This window comes from Homo sapiens, chromosome 7 (genome assembly GCF_000001405.40).
Source record: "Homo sapiens chromosome 7, GRCh38.p14 Primary Assembly".
NCBI lineage: Eukaryota > Metazoa > Chordata > Mammalia > Primates > Hominidae > Homo > Homo sapiens.
Window position 1 is genome coordinate 80,457,783 of NC_000007.14, and position 20,882 is coordinate 80,478,664.

Sequence of the window (20,882 nt, forward strand, 5' to 3'; positions counted from 1 at the left end):
AAATAATGTAGGAGATAAAATTGAATATATTTATTTTGCAAATGTAATTTCATATTAACAAAGAAATGTATAGAGAACATTTCATTTGCAGCTGCCTAACAGAGGGGTAATTGACTAATAAATGCCTCATGCCCTTTTAAAATAGACTTTCCAGGCCAAGAGCCGTGGCTCATGCCTGTAATTCCAGGGCTTTGAGAGGCCGAGAAGAGAGGATCACCTGAGGCCAGGAGTTCAAGCCAGGCTGGGCAACATAGTGAGACACTGTTACTATAAAAAAAACTCACAAAAAACAAAAAACTTAGCTGGGCATGGTGGCATGCATGTGTAGACCTAGCTACTCAGGAGGTTGTGGTGAGAGGATCGCTTGAGCTGAGGAGTTAGAAGCCATAGTGAGCTATGGTTGTGCCACTGTACTCCAGTCTGGGCAACACAGTGAGACCCTGTCTCTTAAAAAAAAAAAAGTCTCTACAGTACTGGCATGGCTACATTATCAACAAAAATGAATGCCTCTCAAAATCTGGCCAATGGAAATAATATTATTCCATATTTCTTCATTATTCTATGATTACAAATAGTCTGCATGTAGAGGTTTATTTCCAAGAAAATCCAGTGTCATTGATATGTACTGTTACAGTTACCAAAATATATCAGTTTTTAGATATAAGGACATCAAAGACACTCCCATTCCCCATGTTCCAAAGAAATTTAAACTTATCCAGATATAGATGATAACACATAAATATTTTTGTGGGAAAACTTTTTGCTTTACAATGCTAGTTATATGTCTAGATAAGTTAATGTCTATTCAAACTAAACACGTCATACAGCACCTTTTCTTTTATATTTTGAAAAGCATACATGAGCAAGAGTGGAAGAGAAAATAGTTGATTAGAAAAGCCCACAGTCTTTTAGATTCTCTTTGATTATTATATCTGTAACTGCGTCAAACACAAACTTGACATTTTGGGTGTCAGTAGCACAGGTCATGTGGGAATAAATTTCCTTATCTTCTTTTTTTAAATTCAGGTCTAGAAACTGGTTCTTGATGTAGTTTCCTGCATCTTCAAATGTATTTGGCCCTTGTTAAACAAAATATTTGAAGAAGTAAAGATTAATCATATGTTACAAAGAATAGGCTATAAATAATATCAGCAAATTTTAGGATTTTACTTTGATATACAAAGTATTGCAAAATCATAAAGGCAACGGTCAATTATCAGGGTGCTGGGAACTATGCTCACCCCTTTGGGAGCTCCCGGTGGCTAAAAGGTAAACTTTGCATCAAAAAGCTCAAAATACAGTAGAAATCCCAAAATATTTATAAAACAAAGTGAGTGATACAAACTTACGTATACATCAAACACTGTGTGTGTGTTTGTGGGTATGGGTATGGGTGTTTTTATACAAATTAAAAGAGAAAAAGAATGGAAAAGGTAGATGACTAAGGCACAGAAGGAGATGGTATTTGAGCTGGACTTTGAGAGGTAGCTACAACAGAGAAAAGTAAGTGAAAACAAAAAAGTGAAAGTGAGAATTGTAGCACTAGACTTGAGGGTAGGGTCGGGAAACAGACTGAGCTTTGAAGAATCTACTTCGATAGAAATGAAAGATTTTTGTAGAGGAATTGTAGGAAATCAAGTAGAATAGATGTTATGGGCTAGATTATAGACTATGTTACTAACAAAACAAAGGAGTTAGGATGCGATATAAAAGGCTATAGAGAGGTACTCTTCACTGATGTGTTATATAGCAGTAATACAATGAAGGCTCTGCTTGAGAAACTTTAGTCCAATAGCAGGATGTGCAATGAATCAGTTGAGAAAAGGCAGAAATAAAACAAGTAGGCTAAAAAATACAGGACTACTAAAAATGACCTGTTGATGGGCTTTATAACAGAATATGCTTTAAGGGGACTTGACACAGAATAGAGCAGTAGCATAAAGACTTTCTAAAAAATAAGTCTTTGTTTCCTACTTTATTGTAACTAGAAACAAAATTCCTTGAAGGACAAGCTTTAAAGCCATATAACATGGCTAAAATCCAAAACACTGGCAATACCAAATTCTGGTAAGTGCATGGAGTTATAGGAGTTAATTGCTTGTGGAAATGCAAAATAGTGCAGTCACTTTGAAAGGCAATTTGGCAGTTTCTTACAAAGCTAAAGATAGTCTTACCATACAATCCAGCAATCACACTTCTAGGCATTTACCTAGAAACTTATGTCTACACAGAAGCTTGCACATGGATGTTTATAGCATCTTTTTCCATAATTGCCAAAAATTGAGAGGAACCAAGATGTCCTTCTGTAGCTGAAAGGATAAACTGTGGTTCGTTTAAGGAACAGAATATTAATTTAGGAATAAAAAAATTAGCTATCAATCCATAAAAAGACATGGAGGAAACTTAAATGCATATTGCAAATGAAAGAAGACAGTAAGAAAATGCTACATGTCATATGATTCCAGTTATATTACATTCTGGAAAAGGCAAAAGGATAGAAACAATAAAAAGATCAGTGGTTGCCAGGAGTGTGAGGAGGGAGGAGGCATGAATGGGGGAACACAGGGGATTTTTAAGGCAGCGAAGCTGTTCTGTATAACACTGTAATGCTGGATACATGACCTGCATGTGGCAAAACACATAGAACTGTGCAACATAAAGAGTGAACCCTAATTAAATGATGGACTTGGCCGGGGACGGTGGCTCATGCCTGTAATCCTAACACTTTGGGAGGGCGGATGGATCATCTGAGGTCAGGAGTTCAAGACCAGCCTGGCCAACATGGTGAAATCCCGTCTCTACTAAAAGTACAATAATTAGCCGGGCGTGGTGGCGTGCACCTGTAATCCCAGCTACTCGGGAGGCCAAGGCAGAAGAATAGCTTGAGCCCAGGAGGCAGATGTAGCAGGGAGCTGAGATCGTGCCACTGCACTCCAGCCTGGGCAACAGGGTGAGACTCCATCTCAAGAAAAAAAAAAAGATGGACTTTAGTTAATAATGTAAAATGTGTTAATATCAATTCATCAATATAATTCATCAATTGTAACATATGTACCACACCAAAGCAGTTCTCTAATAATAGAGAAACTGTAGGAGGGGATGGGAAAGAAAGTACATGGGAACTCTTTGTACTTTCTGTTGAAACATTTCATTTCTCTGTACACTAGAAACTGCTCTAAGAAATAAGTCCTGTTATATATATAATATAAAACCTTTAATTATGAGTTTATATTTAATTAGTAATCAATATATTTGAATATTATTTGTAATATGCAAAATATATTATTATACTTAATCACATGATAAATGTATGAATATATTATAAATATTTATAATTATAGAAAAAAGATATAAGCCCTAATTGTAGGTTGACCAATGTAAGTATTTGTTTTGATAAAATGCCATGGTCCTAGTAACATCTGGGCAACCTTACGCACCTAAGTGGTAAAACTGGATTTGTATTTTTGTTTAAATCATAAATATGGCTGGGTGCAATGGCTCACACCTGTAATCCCAGCACTTTGGGACGCCAAGGTGGACAGATCACCTGAGGTCAAGAGTTCAAGACCAGCCTTGGCAAACATGGTGAAACCCCATTACTACTGAAAATACGAAAATTAACTGGGTGTTGTGGCGTGCACCAGTCGTCCCAGCCACTCGGGAGGCTGAAGCAGGGGAATCATTTGAACCCACGAGGCAAAGGCTACAGCCTGAGCGACAGAGCGAGACTCCATCTCAAAAAAGAAAAATAAATATTTTTCTTATGTAATTTTATTACCAATGGAATATCCAACTATTTACAAAAATAAATAAATAAATAAATAAAATTCTTTCTGAAGGAGAAACAGCCCTTCTGTGGGATTTCACACTTACAATCGCTGACTAACAGGATTAGCACTAAAATTCCAGGATCCACGAAAACCGGAAAATGAAGATGTCATTATTCATTCTCAAATTCATTCATGCTATATCTCTAGAAACAACTCAGAGATTGAAGAGCCTCTGAGATCTACTACAGCATTACAAGGTTTCAGTAGGAGATACATTAAAAATGCCAATTTCGAATAAGATTTGCATTCCTGTTATAATTTTGAAGACAATTCAGGTTCCAATGTCATTTGATAAAGTCTATAGAGTAGCAACCCTGGTCCATCTAACCCCTTCCAGTTTATTTTATTAGGGTTTTGCTTTAATGTACACAATGTAGAGAGGGTTCTTCTTTATTTGTAAGATTTTTTTTCCAGTTTGGATCATAAAGATAACTCAAAAATGATCATAAGCCTCATCCTCATAAGTATTAAATGTCAAGATCCAGATAGGAAATATATATTTATACAAAAATTTATTTCTATGGAACTAAAAGAAAAAAATCTTACCAGTGTATTCTGGAAAGCAGATACTAAGATGCACCTTGGTTACCTTTTCTTGAAAGATATCTTTTTTGTTGAGGAACAGGACAATGGAGGTTGTTGAAAAATACTTGTGATTACAGATACTGTTGAACAGGTGAAGGCTTTCATGCATTCTATTCTGTTAGGTATCAGAAATGAGAATGGGTAGGATTATTATTTGCAAAATGTGAATGTTGAGCATCATGAACAAGGATCTAGAACTAACATAAATCTTTGGCAAACCTTCATGAGTTGGGCAATGTGGTAGTACTACTGAAAAGCACAAAGATTACTTTTAACCCTGGCTTTGTTTTTCCTTTAGACTTACCACTTCTTCGTCTTCCACGAGGACCATGTCATAGGCACTAAGTGCAGCACAAAATATAATGCATGTAACTCCTTCAAAGCAGTGAATCCACTTCTTTCTCTCAGATCTCTGTCCACCTACATCAAACATCCTTTAAGAAAACATCAAATGAATAATAAATCTTGCAAATATCCTCCAAAATGTGCATTGAGGTTAACATTTAGAGGTATAAATGGGTGATCCCCTATCTTCAAAAGGTATTCTTTTGACTTTTATTGATTATAAAATTAAATTTATTTGGTCAAATGGCTGCTCAAGGACTACAGAGAAAAAACAGTCTTTTAAAATTGTCTCCGTGCAAACTAGAATAAAATAATTTACACACTGACTTTGAGAAACTGGGAAGTTTAAAAGAGTTTAGAGTTTTGGTAAAACATTCATTAGCCACAGAAGATTTTGATAAAAGTTTAGACATATTCTCTTGAATGAAAAGAAACTGCAAGAAGATTGGAAGTTACTGTAGTTCTGATGTTATGATTCTTGCCTATTTTCTTAAGTCTTTCTACATTCATTTACTCAAACAATTATTGTTTGCATTCTATGTACTAGACACTGTGCTAGGTCTACTAGCACAAAGATGAAAAGATATGGTCCCTATCTTCGAAGAACGTTCTGTCTTGTAGAGAAAAAAACAAATAAGTTACTATAATATTATGTAAAAAATATTCTAATATACAAGGTAAAATGTGAGCATACAGAAAGACTTAAGTTAGCCTGAGGGATCATGACACTTAGAGAAGGTGTTTGAAAACTCAGCCTTTCCTCTACTTTTATATTTTGGTAAGAGATCATTGTGGATCGAGGACTCAATTTTAAAAACTAGGAGCTAGGCAGTAAAAAGTTAGGTTGATATCAAAGGAGCTGTTTAATGTTTGCTGCCTCAGGGCTTTCACACACAGTCTCTTTCCTTTTCCTGTGACAAAGATTTCCTTCTTCCTTCCAAGGTTGCTTTTTTTCTCAACTATGAAGTCTTAGCATCAATATCTCCTCCATAAAGAAGCCTCCTGGAGCGTCCATTTAAATTACACCTCTCTCCACCCTCCATTTACCTTCTATAGCATCACTTTCTTTCCTTTATGGTAATCATCAATATCTATCATCTCCCTAATACAATAGCAGCCTCATGAGGTCAGGAACGTTATCTGTATTAGTAACTGCTGTATTCCTAGTTCCTGGCACCATGCCCAACACATAACAGGCATGCAAAAAATATTTGCTAAGTAAACGAATAGATTCCATGTTAACTGAATAGAGAGGCAGGAAACACAGCAAACATGCTATGTTCTCTCATGCCTTGATAACTTACACATGTTTTCTATAAATATGTGTAAGTTATCAAGGCATGAGAGAACATAGCATGTTTGGGGTAAGCAAGCAATTTATAGTTTTGGGAACATAAAGAATAAGGTAAAAACACTGAGCTATATGGCCTAATAATTATCAATTTATCCACTCATTCATCCTTTATTCAATAAATATTTACTAAGCACTTATTATATGCCAGGCACCAAGGATTCAGCCTTAAGAAGCTTTTAAACTGGTGGTGATGGTGGTAGTGATTGGTGTGTGTGTTTCAAAATAGACTTTAGATATCCTATAGGATATCCAAAATGGATTCAGATATCCTATATGGATATCTGAAAATAGACTTAATAGGAAATATCCATATGAAAATAGACTTCAGATATCCATATAGGAAGTGTAGGGGGTGGGTTGTCATTTGAAATGGAGTGATCAGGAGTTGTAGAAGATAGCAGAAGTGTAAAAACCTAAGGAGATGAGGGGTTGAGCCAAATGGATATCTGGAGCAAACAATGTTATAAGCAAAGGTGACAGAGGAAACAGCAAGAGCAAAGTACTTCAGGAGTGAGCCTCATGTGATCAGCCAGCAGTGGATTTACTGGTCCTTTCATGTTACATGAGAAATGTAGATTTCATATTGCAGACTATAGAAGACTATGGGTGATTTTTAGATAGGGAATTGACATTTTTTGTTTGTTTGTTGTTGTGTTAGATCACTTTGATCTGAGTCCAGAAGTTGGGCTTAATGAGGAAGAGATTAGAAGCAAAGAAATAAAGTATGGGGCTATCATAATAGTTTACAACCAAGGTATTAAGTACCAAAAAGCATCCAAGTTGTACAGACTTCACGGGTAATAGTTATATTTGGAGTAATAAATGTCTACCGATCTGATTATTGAAAATAATCAAAAGTACAATATATTATACTTCGTATTTCACATATGAACCAAGTAAAGATATATATAACTAATATTCCCCAAATAATGTACTAATGCAAAATCACTCCATTAAGCAGTAGACTAAAAGAGAAGATGCTCACAATATTGAAGATAATGGTTAAGAGTTCAATAGTTAATAGTGTGGAAATTTAAATTTGGTGTGTATAAAGAATATTATATGTGCTACTAATTACCAAATTGCAGTTTCAGGCTTGCAAAATAAATGGAGGAAGGGGACCAAAGTTTGACTTTACGGTTATATTATGTGAAAATTAACCAATACATTTAATTTTTAAAAATTAAACAACATTCTTACAGAAACAAGGATGATAAATATGCATTCAGAAATTTAAATTGTTCATGAACTGTTTTGTTAGTCCATAAAAACAACCTTAGTGTTTTTCAGACTTCGTAAACTGGAGTTTTATTTCTTTCTTTGTTGAAATTACTTTTAAAGTATAAATTACATTTAAACTATAAAATGTGGTGGAAATAGAAATAGTTGAGATCATGACTTTCATGTTCCACATCACCAGTTGTAATGGATTAATCTTAATTTAACACACCTAATAAGAGTTTACTATTTGTCGGGTATATAAGCACCTTACAGCAATTAACTCATTTAAACCTCTTCAGGAACTTGCAAGGTAGGTAAGTTTAGCATTCTTATTTTTTCAGAGGGACCCTTAAGCAAATTGCCTAAGAATTATTATTTCAGCTGATATTTGTTGAGGCTGCTATGTACCTGGCTGGCACCACGATAGGTTCGATAGATTCCGTGGCTATGATAGCTATGCTGTGAAAGTTGTTAACTTGCTAAGTCTATTTACTTAGAACAGAGGTGCACAACTAGTACTAGTGCCTGCAGTTGGCTCTCAAACCTTCACTAGTGGACAGAAATTATCTTCACTGTGGAGTCTATCCTTCTCCCAGGCCAGGCAGTAGTTCTATGTTGTCAAACAGGTCACTGGGCAAAAAAATTAAACTCCCTTCTTCTGGGAGGTTTCGTTCTTTTCTTTTAATGAAGATAATCACCTAATGCATTTCAGATGTAGTACATATAGGCTCCATTTGGTCATATATGAATATATTGTGGATCACTTTTTGGCAAAGAATTGTGATGCTGTGATTGAACAATGATGATTAACTTATGGATTTGGGGGACCTGAGGGTAGAGTATACATTACTAGGTTTAAACTCCTGGTGGGCTTTTCAAACTGAAACCACCCTTTCTAACCCCACCCACGGGGTTTTTAACCCATAAGGATTTCCATAGTCCTAATCTCTTTCACTCTAATCCCCACCTCAGGGGGGGAAAATAAAAAACCCCTTTCCATTGCTTAATGACAAACCAGTCATGGAGCCAAGACAAAGAGTAATGGAATGTTTGTGCTAAGGGAGCCCGATGTGCCATTTCCACAGCAGTGATGGCAGGGCTGTAGGAATCGAATTCTAGGATGCCTCAGGTAAGTTTTCTCCACTAAGCAGAACTTGCATTAGTCTTGTCAACCTTTGTAGTCTCCTTTTCCCTGCTTTTATGCCCAATTATGCCATTTTCTTTCATTCCGATTGATATTTGTATTCTTTTAGTCACATTTTCAATTAGATTATATATTGTTAGATTCTATTCACATCTTAAAAGTCTGAGAAACTCCTCTCTTTAAGGTGACTTTGTAATTGCTCAGATTTCCTGCAGAGTGACCAAATATTTTACCTCAGAGAAAAATCATCTTATTTCTCTCATGCTAATAGTTTTGTTTTTTGGTGTGTGGGGGGTTAATGATAAAAATAATAGTAGGAATTAAGATATGGGAACTCTAATTTGTGGGTTCTATGGGGGACATAAACTCCCCAGGAGGAGGAAAAAAAGGGAGCCTCATATACTTCCTACATATTTTATTTTCTACAACATAATGTTTTCAAATGGCTTTTCTCCAAATCTGAAACATCTGAAGCATCTCTGAGATGAAAATCAGAGTAACAGCAAACTCAATGGCTATGTCTTAATTTGCTCTGATGAGTCAGCTTCTTTGCAGCCTACTAATGATGTGTTAACAGGTGTAAGAGGTAGCTATTCTCCTCTTCTGATAAATATGTACAACTGTGATAAGTAACAATTGCAGGAATAATACCTTACGGTTGAATAAAAGTCATATTGGAATTGTGTGCTCTCCCTGAAAAATAAATTCTAATCCATGGCCTTATGTTCCTCATAACAATTCTTTGAAGGGAAAACAGTATTTACCCATTTCTTTACCAAAATGAAGAAACTGGCCTTTGAGAGGCTAAGGTGGTTTGTTCCTAAACTCACAATTAGTAAAGGATAGAACTCACGTACTATGACCTTTAGCCCAGTGCTCTTTCAGCATATCATGCAGCTTCTAATAAACATGTTTTAAGTGGCTTGGCTTTCTCCCAAGGAAGAGAGGACAAAGATTGCTCAGTCTTAGCATTTTGTTCATATAGATAAAATGGATTCTGAAAGTCTCTCTTAGGTTGAATGCTTATAATCGTCTCATTTTATGACTCATTTGATAAACAATATTTTTGTGTGTGCAGATTGACGTAGGAGACATAGGTCCAGGGAGCACTGCACATTTCTCTAATGCCATCTGCTATTATTGAACTGAAATGCTCATTAGCAAATCAGATCAATAGCCAGAGTTTTGTTTTTGTATTGATTCTCTTGGACACTATGTTAGCTCTAAGACTAGTTACATTTTGTTTTGCTAATATTGTAGTCATTTATTTTTCATACTTTTCAGTTTTAGCTTTTCCCCAAATTTTAATTTAGTCCTTATTTTATGGAATTGTAAAGTATTACTACCTATGAAAACAATTTGGAGATCCCCAAAGTGAAGTAATTGCTTATATTTTTGGCCGAAGGAATATTCTCCCTTATGCATAAAAATGAAATCAAAACAAAAAGCTTTATTGTGACCATTCTGTGAGAGACAAAATTAAAATCAGAGAAAACATGTATATTTGCTGCCCGGAGTTTTGGATTGGTCAAATATAATAGATTATTAATGAGGGAAATGGACATGCTTGAATACTCTTAACTCCCTGAATAAAATAATAAATCTTAACTTCCACGATGTTACATGGAACTTACAGTCCTCATTTGGGATTTTGTGTGGGGTTTTTTGGTCTTATTTATTTAAGTTTTTTTTTTAAGGAGGGATAATATGTATTTTGTTATTAAGTCTGACACTTGATGGACTTCTTAAAGTTAAAAAATTTAAATAACTAAAATTTATGATGTAGCTAAAAATTGACAGGCCAGGCTTTTAAGTGACAGTCGAACACTGATTATTTGTTAAATTGACCAAGGCATTAATACAGGGCAAACCATCAGAGTTTTACGGCTTTATATTAAACAGTTGACTCAACAGTTGAGTTTTACAGTTCTAGTAAGCAGTCGGCAAAGCTTTGAGCTTTACGGTTTATGTTAAACAGTTGGCTAAATATTGGATCACATGAGATTATTCACATTTCATATCAGAATAGATTATTATAATATAATCTGCTTATAATTCTTGTAAAATTATTATATAATCTAGAGTAGCTAAAAATCAACAATGCTACTGCAGGTAATTTATTTGTTAGATGTCTTTGCTTATCCTATAAGCATGTACTTATCTTTGAAAAATCACTTTCTGACATTCTCTACTATGTATATGATTACATAAAAATAAAACTCAATCTGAGTAGGAATTTATTTTAAGGTATTCTATTGAATGGGATTTATTCAAGATGTTAGTCTCTATCGCAGTTGTTATAATTTCTCATCATGGTTACATATGAGACCAGGTGGATCTGTGTCTTCACTACACACCCATAGCAAATGGTCTAACCAATCTTTCCCTTGTTTCTGGTCTTGAAAACAGAGAATGGTAGATACTTGCAGACAGGAAGGATGTGCACAGATGTCTTACTAAGTCTCTTAAATCCTCACAATTAAAAAACAGAATCAAAAGAATTTATAACTGTAAGGGAGCCAAGCTCTCCAAATCATCAGAATCATTAATACCATTATATACTTTCTACTAAATGTGTGTGTGCATTTGAAACTTCAAATGCCCACTAGATAATTCTCCGATTATTTAATAATGTAATTCATAAAGCCATCACAATAAATTCTGTCACTAGAATCAATTAAACATCATATTTTATAACTTATTATTTTGGTAATACTAACCATAAACATGCCTGAAACAAATATATAGTATATATGAGTTATTGCTCTATGAGATCTTATAAAGACTAGGAAAGCCAAATTGAAATGTAGCTGCTGGATGGACAGCCAGATTCACTCCTATCTGAGATGATTCATATGCCACACAAATGACCACGATATACACAATTCAACGTCATATCTCAGGAAAACCGTAGTTTCTTTTATATCATAGATCTGCTCAAACATTCTTATAAACAGTTATGGTAATTTATGAAATCTAAAGCTCTGTGTTGTAATAATTGTTAACCTTTTTTCCTTAGCTCCCATATAGTTTTAAGTCCTTTCAATTCTGTTTTTCCATCATGGAAAAATTAGGGAGAAAGTTTCTTCTCTATAATTGTCTGCTAAATCCCTGTAAATACATGTCTAAGTTATTTGTTCTGAGGAATTATTCTGTAACAATAGGAGGGCTCACATTTGCTCTGCATTTTCCACTTACATAGTACATTAATGTCTATAAAGATAATTTATTTTATCAGTTTGACAGTTGCAGTTCTGGTTTGATAAGAACTCTACAGTAATTTCCACTGAATTAGATGATACACAATTATGATACAGTACATTGGCAGAGATAATTTTTCATTTTGGTGTTCCTATGTAAAATTTTAGAGTTATCTAATTTAGTATGTAAATTGAGCCTTTGGTTTTAAATAGTCATAAGACATCTTATGCTATGTGAATACAAATCAATGCTAATGTAATATATTTTAACACCTGGGCACTTGCTGAAAAAAAGTTGGAAGGTACATTATTTTTATACTTCCTATTTTGAAATACTACAGAATTGTACACTCTAAAACCCTGTGCACTTTTGGACTATCCTATTTAGCACTTGAAATAAAAGCTATTTAATGGTGAGAATTTATTAAAGGATTAATATATCTTAATTGCTCTAACTAAACTTAAAACTGTATTTAAATAATTTTAAATAGCTCCTCAAGAAAAAGATATTTTAAAATATTTTGTAACAAAATTTAAATATTTCCAAATTTTATTGTTTAAATAAAGACTTGTTTTTAGAAAAATTCCTTGCATTGGAGTAAGGAGGTACTGTATCTTCCATCCTCTTCCTCACTGAAAATGCCTTTAATAACATTGTCTTGAGTCAGAGGAAAAGCAAAGGCTCTTAAAAAAACAAGCTTGATACCTGTTTTAGTATATAGCGAAGAGGTGGTAGTTGCACAGTAAAGAGAATGTTCTTTTTTTTTTTTCTTTTTTTGAGACAGAGTCTTGCTCTGTCACCCAGGCTAGAGCGCAGTGGCGCGATCTTGGCTCACTGCAACCTCCGCCTTTTGAGTTCAAGTGATTCACCAGCCTCAGCCTCCTGCATAGCTGGGATTACTGGGGTGTGCCACCATGCCCCGCTAATTTTTGTATTTTTAGTAGAGACGGGGTTTCACCATGTTGGCCAGGCTGGTCTGAACTCCTGACCTCAAGTAATCCACCAGCCTCGGCCTCTCAAAGTGCTGGGATTACAGGTGTGAGCCACCACGCCCAGCCAAGAGAATATCGTATCAAAATAATTTCTAGCTGGGCTTCACAATCCAATTCACAAACACCTTACACTTTAGCATTCATACTGTAATAGAGAATTAGCAAAACCCTCCTCATTGCTTCATAAGGATCAATAATATGCAAAAGCAAAATAGCTCACCTTCCTATATGATTTAAGATAGTGCTTCACAAAATCACAAAACTACAAAAGGACAGAGGAAAATGACTATGTACCAAAGGGGGTCTGGAGGTCTAAACTGAAGAGTCCTATTGTAAGAATAAAATGTATTTTAAAATTAATATTTTATTTTAAACATTAATGCAAATGTTATATTCTACTCTGTGATGGTTAATACTGGGTGTCAACTTGACTGGATTGAAGAATACAAAGTACTGATTCTGGGTGTGTCTGTGAGGGTGTTGCCAAAGGAGATGAACATTTGAGTCAGTGGGCTGGGAAAGGCAGACCCACCCTTAATCTGGGTGGGCACAAGCTAATCGGCTGCCAGCACAGCTAGAATATAAGCAAGCAGAAAAATGTGAAAAGGGAGGCTGGCCTAGCCTCCCAGCCTACATCTTTCTATCTCTGGGAGGGCGGCTGATGTGGTGGCAGTACCAGCTGAGGGGAACTGAGGCGGAAGAAAGATGTAGGCTGGGAGGCTAGGCCAGTCTGTCTTTTCACATTTTTCTGCTTGCCTATATTCTAGCTGTGTTGGCAGCTGATTAGATTGTGCCCACCCAGATTAAGGATGGGTCTGCCTTTCCCAGCCCACTGATTCAAATGTTAATCTCCTTTGGTAACACCCTCAGAGACACACCCAAGATCAATACTTTTTATCCTTCGATCCAATTAAGTTGACACTCAGTATTAACCACCACATACTCATAATTTTCAAAATTTTATGATTGTTTATATTACTTTGTTCAGAGTGAAATAGATGTCTCAGAAAATGACCATGATTTTCTGAGGATTTACGTGTTTATTGGCAGTTGTCTCGTACCCTGGTTTTAGAAGCACTGACTTATAAAGGACCACATGACCCTCCAACTTAAAGATAGTTCCCCAAAAGGCTGTCATTTTATCCTCCCTCCCGCCTTCTCTCTGAAAGAGATTATAAATGACCAACAACACTGAAAACAACACTCTACAGAAAAATGGTTTTCACCCAATTTATCTAACAACTCAGTGCCATACAGTGTAAGGAGTGTGGTCTTTGAAGACAGAAAGATATGCATTTTAATTCCATCTCTAGCACTTCCGTGAAAGACCTTGGGGGAAATCTTTTATCTCAGTATAGCCTCCAGTTTTTGAGGCTATCCAGTTAGCCTCAGGATAACCAAGATTGCTTATCCTGAGTATCGATAGCAACACTCAGCTCATGGTGTTACTGTGCAAGTATAAAGATTGTGTATGTAGAGTGTTTGGCATAGTGCATTTACTCATTCAGCAAAAATTACCTTCATTCTTACTCTATGCTAGCCACTATAATAAGCACTGGAAGTAGAGCTATAAATAGACATGGCCCCTAGCCTCCAGGAGCTCGGGGGCATATGAGATAGAAACAGAAACAAAAAGAGAAAACTAATAAAGAAGCAAGGCAATCTCATATATTGATAATTTTTTTTAAAAGGAAAGCAATGTGATGTATCAATATTGCAGTGGCTATGGCTCACCCTGGCTTAGCTAGTGAGAGCTGTTTATTTGCATTTCTCCTCAACTCTGCATTTAGTGACATCACCTTGGTTGACTGAAATTGACCATGGTGGGGTTATTTGCACCAGAAAAATCAAGAGCTACAATCAGCCAGCCCTCCATCGCCTTACTGCCCCAGAAACCCTGCTGTTAAACATTTATGAGCATGCTGCAGGGTGTATAGTGACAGGGATAAGCATGGATGGTACATAGATAAGATGGTTATGCCTCCATGAGGATATGCATTTGATTTTGGAACTTAATCATAAGAAGGAGATGTTTCTTGCAGATTCAGGGGCAGAGCACTTTAGGCAAAGAGACTAGCAAGTACAAAGGCTTGAAATGTTAAAGAACAGATACATAAACAAGATAATTTTTGAGAGTGATCATTTTTGAGACAATACCAAATTGGTTGGTGTTGTAGGGAGTGACTTGGGTAGTGAGCTTTTAGGTATTCAACAGGTAACATCACTTGTCCAAACCCGTTTATGGTCCAGACAATCTAGGACACAGAGAGTTCTACTGGCTTATGAAAGGTAAGCTACATCAAGTTATAACTCTCTACTAGGACTTTACTTCATCTAATCTTTACAACAAACTCATTAGGCAAGCAAATAAAGAAAAGGTTAACTGTGTTTCTTAACTCCTACTGCTAATTATTAGGTAACCTGGAATTGGAACTTTGGTCTGGGCAGCCTCAAGGCCCACACTCAGTTCTAGTCTGTTTCAGTGAGACATCTGGAGAAAAGAAAGAGTAAGACAGAAAAGGGACAGTGTCAAAAATGTTTTCACTGGCGTGGGAGGGGCAGAGGGGGAGAAACAACTGGACTCAGGGCCTCAAAGGAAAACCCAGAAACTGGATCAAAGGTGAGGAGTCTGAAGAAAGTAGTTGCCAAAAAGAACTATACAATAGTGAAGCCAAGACTGACGACAAACTTTTCCTACATTTGCCAAGAGAGGATGTTGATCCCAATCGGTGCAGTCCCTTTACCCTGGTTTAATCTTTGGCTCATCTTTCAGAAAATTAACTATTTGTGGGCCTAAAATTTAGATACGAATTTTGAAGAGTTTTTCCGTATTAGTTGAAAATATACTATCTACATAATAGGTATTCTACTTAGATATTATATATAACACATACTTTAAAATATTTGAAGCTTTTATCTTACTAAAATAAATTTATGATGTTGATTAATTACCATTTTCTTTTTCCTCACGAATGGATATGAATAATTCATGCCACTCTATCTCCAGTTTTTTACTCTTTAAGATTATTCTCATTGTTTGATACAAGAGTAATTTTATTAGTTATATTTTTATTGATTTTTGTCATTACTAAACAATGCAGCTAGAACCTGCTATTAATGTTTAATATTCCATATTGTCCACAATCCATACAAAAAGGTATTTAAATATTAAGGGATATTTTCTAACATTATAGTATGGGTTTCCATTTCTTGGTATAGTAAATGAGTGATTTTGCAGTAGAATTTCTAGGAAGCTCTCGATAATATAACCGCAATGAAAATAATGATTCATTTTCATACTCAAAACATGGTTATAAAATATGCCTTGTTATTGCAGTAAATAGTATCATATTCAAATAATTCTCATCTTGGTAATTTGCATTTTTTAAAATTAAGGAAACAGATGTTATAGGAATATTTCAAGCAAATAGGAAAATAGAAAGGCAAAGGAAATAGGATTCCTGGCACCCATTTCTTGTATGTTATTTAAATACATTTTCTTTTTTTTCCCCAAAGTACAGTGCCAGTTTTAAGCATGAGGAAAGTAAAATCTAGTCCCCACCTGCTCAAGCCAGAAGCATTTTAGCCTGGAAGGAGGGATGAGGCTCAGGATGAGAGGCTGGGGTGAGAGGCTATAGAAGGACAGTAAAGGACAGCGGTACTGAAGGTAAACTAGAGCTAGTGAGTACATCCAAGGATTATTGAACCTGAACATGGGCTAGAGCTTTTCTCCATGAGGAAATATTAAGCCTGATGCATACTTCTGTCTACAGTTAGAAAAGATATTTGATCATACCTGAAGTGCAAGTCTTTAAAGGAGAATTGAGTTTCAATGATTCCAGTCGTTTTCACTCGAGAATGGAGAACATCTTGTTCATTTGGCACATACCCAGATGCTGTTATTCTATCTAAATCATTAAGGTAGCTAATAAAGACAAAACAAAATTATATATGTGTATATATAATACATAAATACATACATATATGTATATATACACACATACATACATATATATGTGTGTGTATATATATATATTTTTAACTTTGCGTTTGAAGAAACCAGGATTCAGTAGAAATGAATTTTTAGCGTAGGTTCTATGAAAAATGATAAATTCTAGACAGGCGCTTTCCAAACTATGCTCATCGAATTAAAAGTTTGGTAGCTGGAATGTTGCAGAATGCAGAGTGCTGAATGTGGCACACAGCTGACCCCCAGCGTCCTCTTCTAAAGGCACCTAAATCAACATTGCCTTAACCTGTATTTTATGTGGTTTGTGTGATAAATTTGCTTGTATATGGATAGGAGTATGAAAGAAAATTTCTCTTTATAGTGCCTGGATCATTACAAAACTAAAAGTTGCCTTATAGTGGTAGTGGCTAGATTATCCTCGAAATTCTGTAGTTTGAATTTAGGCATTTTCGGTTTTATGAGAGTGATTGGTTCGAATGTACTAATTTGAAGGTTGTTTGTTATTTTTGCATGAATTTGCCTCATCAAGACTCAGCCATTTCCATTAAATGCCATTGCAATATCTAGTTAGCGCAATAAAAGAAGTACCATTTGTCTCTCTTCCTGGTCTATGCTGGAAGTGACTCATGAATTTGCAAACCCACCCTGACCTGGCTCTCCTGGGGACAGAAGGGTGAACGTACCCACTGTCCCCACTCCCACCTCCTCTTCCATCAATGCATCACTGTGTCTTTACCCCTTCCAGGAAGCTATATTAAAAATTGTTAGTATTAACAGGCTGAATATGGTGTTTTTTTCCCCTCACAGGATCTAGGTGTGGTGATGAACAGGAATAAGTCTAATTAAATTGTGTATGCTATAACAGTCTGCTAAATTAGAGGAAAAAAAACCTGCTCTCAGCTTCCTAACTCTTGAAACGAGATAATGTCTTCATACTAAAAAAAAAAAAAAAAAGTGTTTTATTGCTTTAAAAATAATTTGAAAACCACTGGTCTAGACTTTTGATACTAAGCTTTTAGTGGCTTAGCAATATCACTATTTCTGTAAAACTTTCAGATACAAATAGTAATAGCATGGTAATGCCTTTATGACAAATTTCGCCATTACACTGAACCACATTTATAGAAAGATAAGATTCAAGTGCTTCCATCGAGACAGAATTTGTGAGGTAGAATCCAGCTGAATGTTAGTCAGTGTTAAAAATTGTTTGTTCAGTGATTAAGCTGAGAAGCTGTTACGCCTTAGCACCTAGCACAAAGATTGAAAAAACAAAATTATTTTATTAGTTAAAAAAATTCATTATTAATATAGGTAATTTATTCTTGGAGGATCTTTTTCCTTTTAAGCTGAAACAAATTAAGGTTGGACAAGTGTCCCAAAGGGATTTCGGCCGAGAGTAAAAATCACACCTCAGAAACACATAACATATATAATATGAAAATTTGTCACCATTGTTTTATTCTAAAAAAGCTTAAGTTTTCTTTTGAAAAAAGAGTGAAACATTAAGATGTAAATGTATTGGAAAAAGTACTGGCAGGATTTGCTAGTGTATTTATTTTCTATTTTGGCAAGCAAATCCCTTTGTGAATTTTCTATTAATTAAGTCTGCATGTGTGGTAGGTGTGTTGTTGGTCAGTTAGTTCACGCAAGAGTAAAAAGAAAACAAAAAAAACCCAAAAATATACCTACCAAAATAAAGATTAAATTCATTTCATGATACCTAAATGAAAACCTTGGTAAGGACACATTTATTTGCATGTATGAATGATTTCAAGCAAAGCAGAAGCATTAGCAGACTGACAAATTTGCATTTAAAATGCTTGTTTAAATAAACAAATATGGAATGTGGGAGTTCAAGTCTATAATCTAAAGCTTAGACCAAATAGAGGCCCTTAACATATATGAATCTAATCATTTAAAAGTACTAAATTCTTTTCCAATTATTTAAACTAGTATTTTTCCTGGTGAAGTCTATGGTAATTCTTAAAGCACATGGAATTTTAAAGGCACACTAGATGGCTGCAATTAGCAAACCATGCAGTCAACTAAAATGTTTCCTCTGATTATCCCTGCCATACCCCTCTTCTTTCAATTTGCTAGAACTGATGAGGTTATGTTGCCAACTATGGCATTCCTTTCCCTTATTCTGATTATATTCACTTTTTTGTTAGCCTTAACTTGAAGGATCTCTAGATTTGAGAAAACAAGAAGTATCTTACTTTTACCAGAAAAAGAAAAAAGTGTTAGAGACCTTGCTCTATATAATGTATATGAAATAGACACACATTATAGTACCAATCTCATTTTATATCTAGTTTTCTAATGTAATTCAGTGTTTGGAAAAAAAAATCTGCTCTTAATTTCTGGAAGAAAGCAATGACCATTCAACTACCTTTCTCAGCAAGCTTTCCTTTTAAGGACACCTAAGAGCAGAAAAAAAAAACCACTTTATTATTATTATTACTTTTTGTTTATGTATGAAATTTCTCTAAGACCCAGGGAAAATGAGCTTTTCTGTTGTTGTTCTATTGCACCTGCAGTAATCTGGGTAGTTGAAAACTATTACAATATGGGCAACATTTACAAAATGAATGCAAATTGATATTGTTTAATTGTTTTTAACTTGATGAACAGATTTAAAATTTTACTATGAATCTATAATGGAGTAGATAGTCCCAGTGTAAAACATACTTTAAGTATTTAAATAAAGGAAAAAGCTAAAATTAAATACTAGAAAATACAATAAAATGCCATTTATTTGCCCATTTTAACTATGTGGTTTGTACAAGACTAAATATATTAATGAGAGCCCACTTTAATCTATCTTTCTCTCTAGCTCTCTACCCAGAGCTTTACTAAGCAAGATTTTATGGAAATATTCCACAATTCAGCTTCTTACTCATTGTGACTACCTTTACCAATGAATAGTTTAGAAAAGCAATGTTTTACTCCACTGCAGAGATCCCTTGTACTATTAAAATGTGGTAGGTGCTGAGACACTTATGAAAAGTTATTCAAGTTGATATAATCACAAAATGAGACTCATTCTCTCCATCAGAGAGCTAGGAAAAACTCCTCCAAAAGCAATGTGCCCTTTGAAATTGGGGTCTAAAATAAAGATGAATGAATAATTACAGAAAATTTTTTCTCTAGAGTTTATATAGCTTATTTTCTCTCCCTAATCATTCTGTCCATCAATGATTAAAAATCTGAAGTGTCATGCAAGCTTCATTGTTCTGTCCTTAACCGATCTTTTTCATTTGTTTCACTTTTACATTACTGTTTTGCTTTTGTTTAATTAAACGATGCTAGCAGCTTCTGTTGGCGGGGAGAGGGGGAGTTCATCAAAAGAACTATATTTACACTTTTTCACACATATGCATGAACAGAAATAGAAAATGAGTAATTAGATTGTATTTACATATGCACACATCTTGCAGGCATATAGTAAGGGGCTATGTTAGGAACCACTTGCTAAAATAATTGTTTTTTGGGGTTAATTTGGTGACAGGGTCTTGCTCTTTTGCCCCAACTGGAGTACAGTGGTGCAGTCTCTGCCTACTGCAGCCTTGACCTCCTGCGCTCAAGCAATCCTTCTGTCTCAGCTTCCCAAGTAGCTGGGACTACAGGCACATGCCACCACACCTGGCTAATTTTGTATTTTTTTGTAGCAACTTGGCTTTGCCATGTAACCCAGGCTGGTCTCAAATTCCTTACTTCAAGCTGTCTGCCTGCCATGGCCTCCCAAAGTGCTGGGATTACAGGCGTGAGCCACTGTGCCCAGCACTAAAGGAAAATTTTAAATCACTTTGATAATGAAATTATAAATAGTGTCACAAGCCCCTAATTTCCTTATGGTTAATTAATGCTAAATGGATGATACAAGCAGTGAAATTTATAGAATTTTTTGAGACTCCAAAAGAATCTCCTAGTATACAAGTATTTTGGAAATCATTTCATTAATTTCTTCTAGAATTTTGTATCATGGTCATCAACCCAATGAGCCAAGGCATGTGTCATTAATGAAATTAATCTAGGAGATGATTTCACTAATATGGATAGAGATGAAATGAATAGCCCAAAACCTCAGTGTGCATGTCACCAGTCTGTGTTAGTGTGAAAGGCTATGCATAAAGGTTAACACTTTTTAATCAAGAGAAGATATTTGCACCATAGAATCTTCTCAGGCAGTTTCAAACTTAGTTATTTAAAATGCTCCCCTGGTTATATTTTCTTAAAT

General features: G+C 35.2%; 1 protein-coding gene across 1 annotated transcript in view; it reads right to left on the bottom strand.

Annotated features, from left to right (window-relative positions):
* Positions 1-852: 852 nt before the first annotated feature.
* Positions 853-20,882, bottom strand: part of GNAT3 (G protein subunit alpha transducin 3) — a 53,430-nt gene continuing 33,400 nt past the window's right edge. The window contains exons 5-8 of the mRNA NM_001102386.3: positions 16,469-16,597; positions 4,720-4,849; positions 4,377-4,530; positions 853-1,079 (exon numbers count right to left, since the gene is read on the bottom strand). Coding sequence (NP_001095856.1) covers positions 889-1,079; positions 4,377-4,530; positions 4,720-4,849; positions 16,469-16,597 — 604 coding nt within the window. The 3' untranslated portion in view covers positions 853-888. The remainder of the gene's footprint in view (positions 1,080-4,376; positions 4,531-4,719; positions 4,850-16,468; positions 16,598-20,882) is intronic.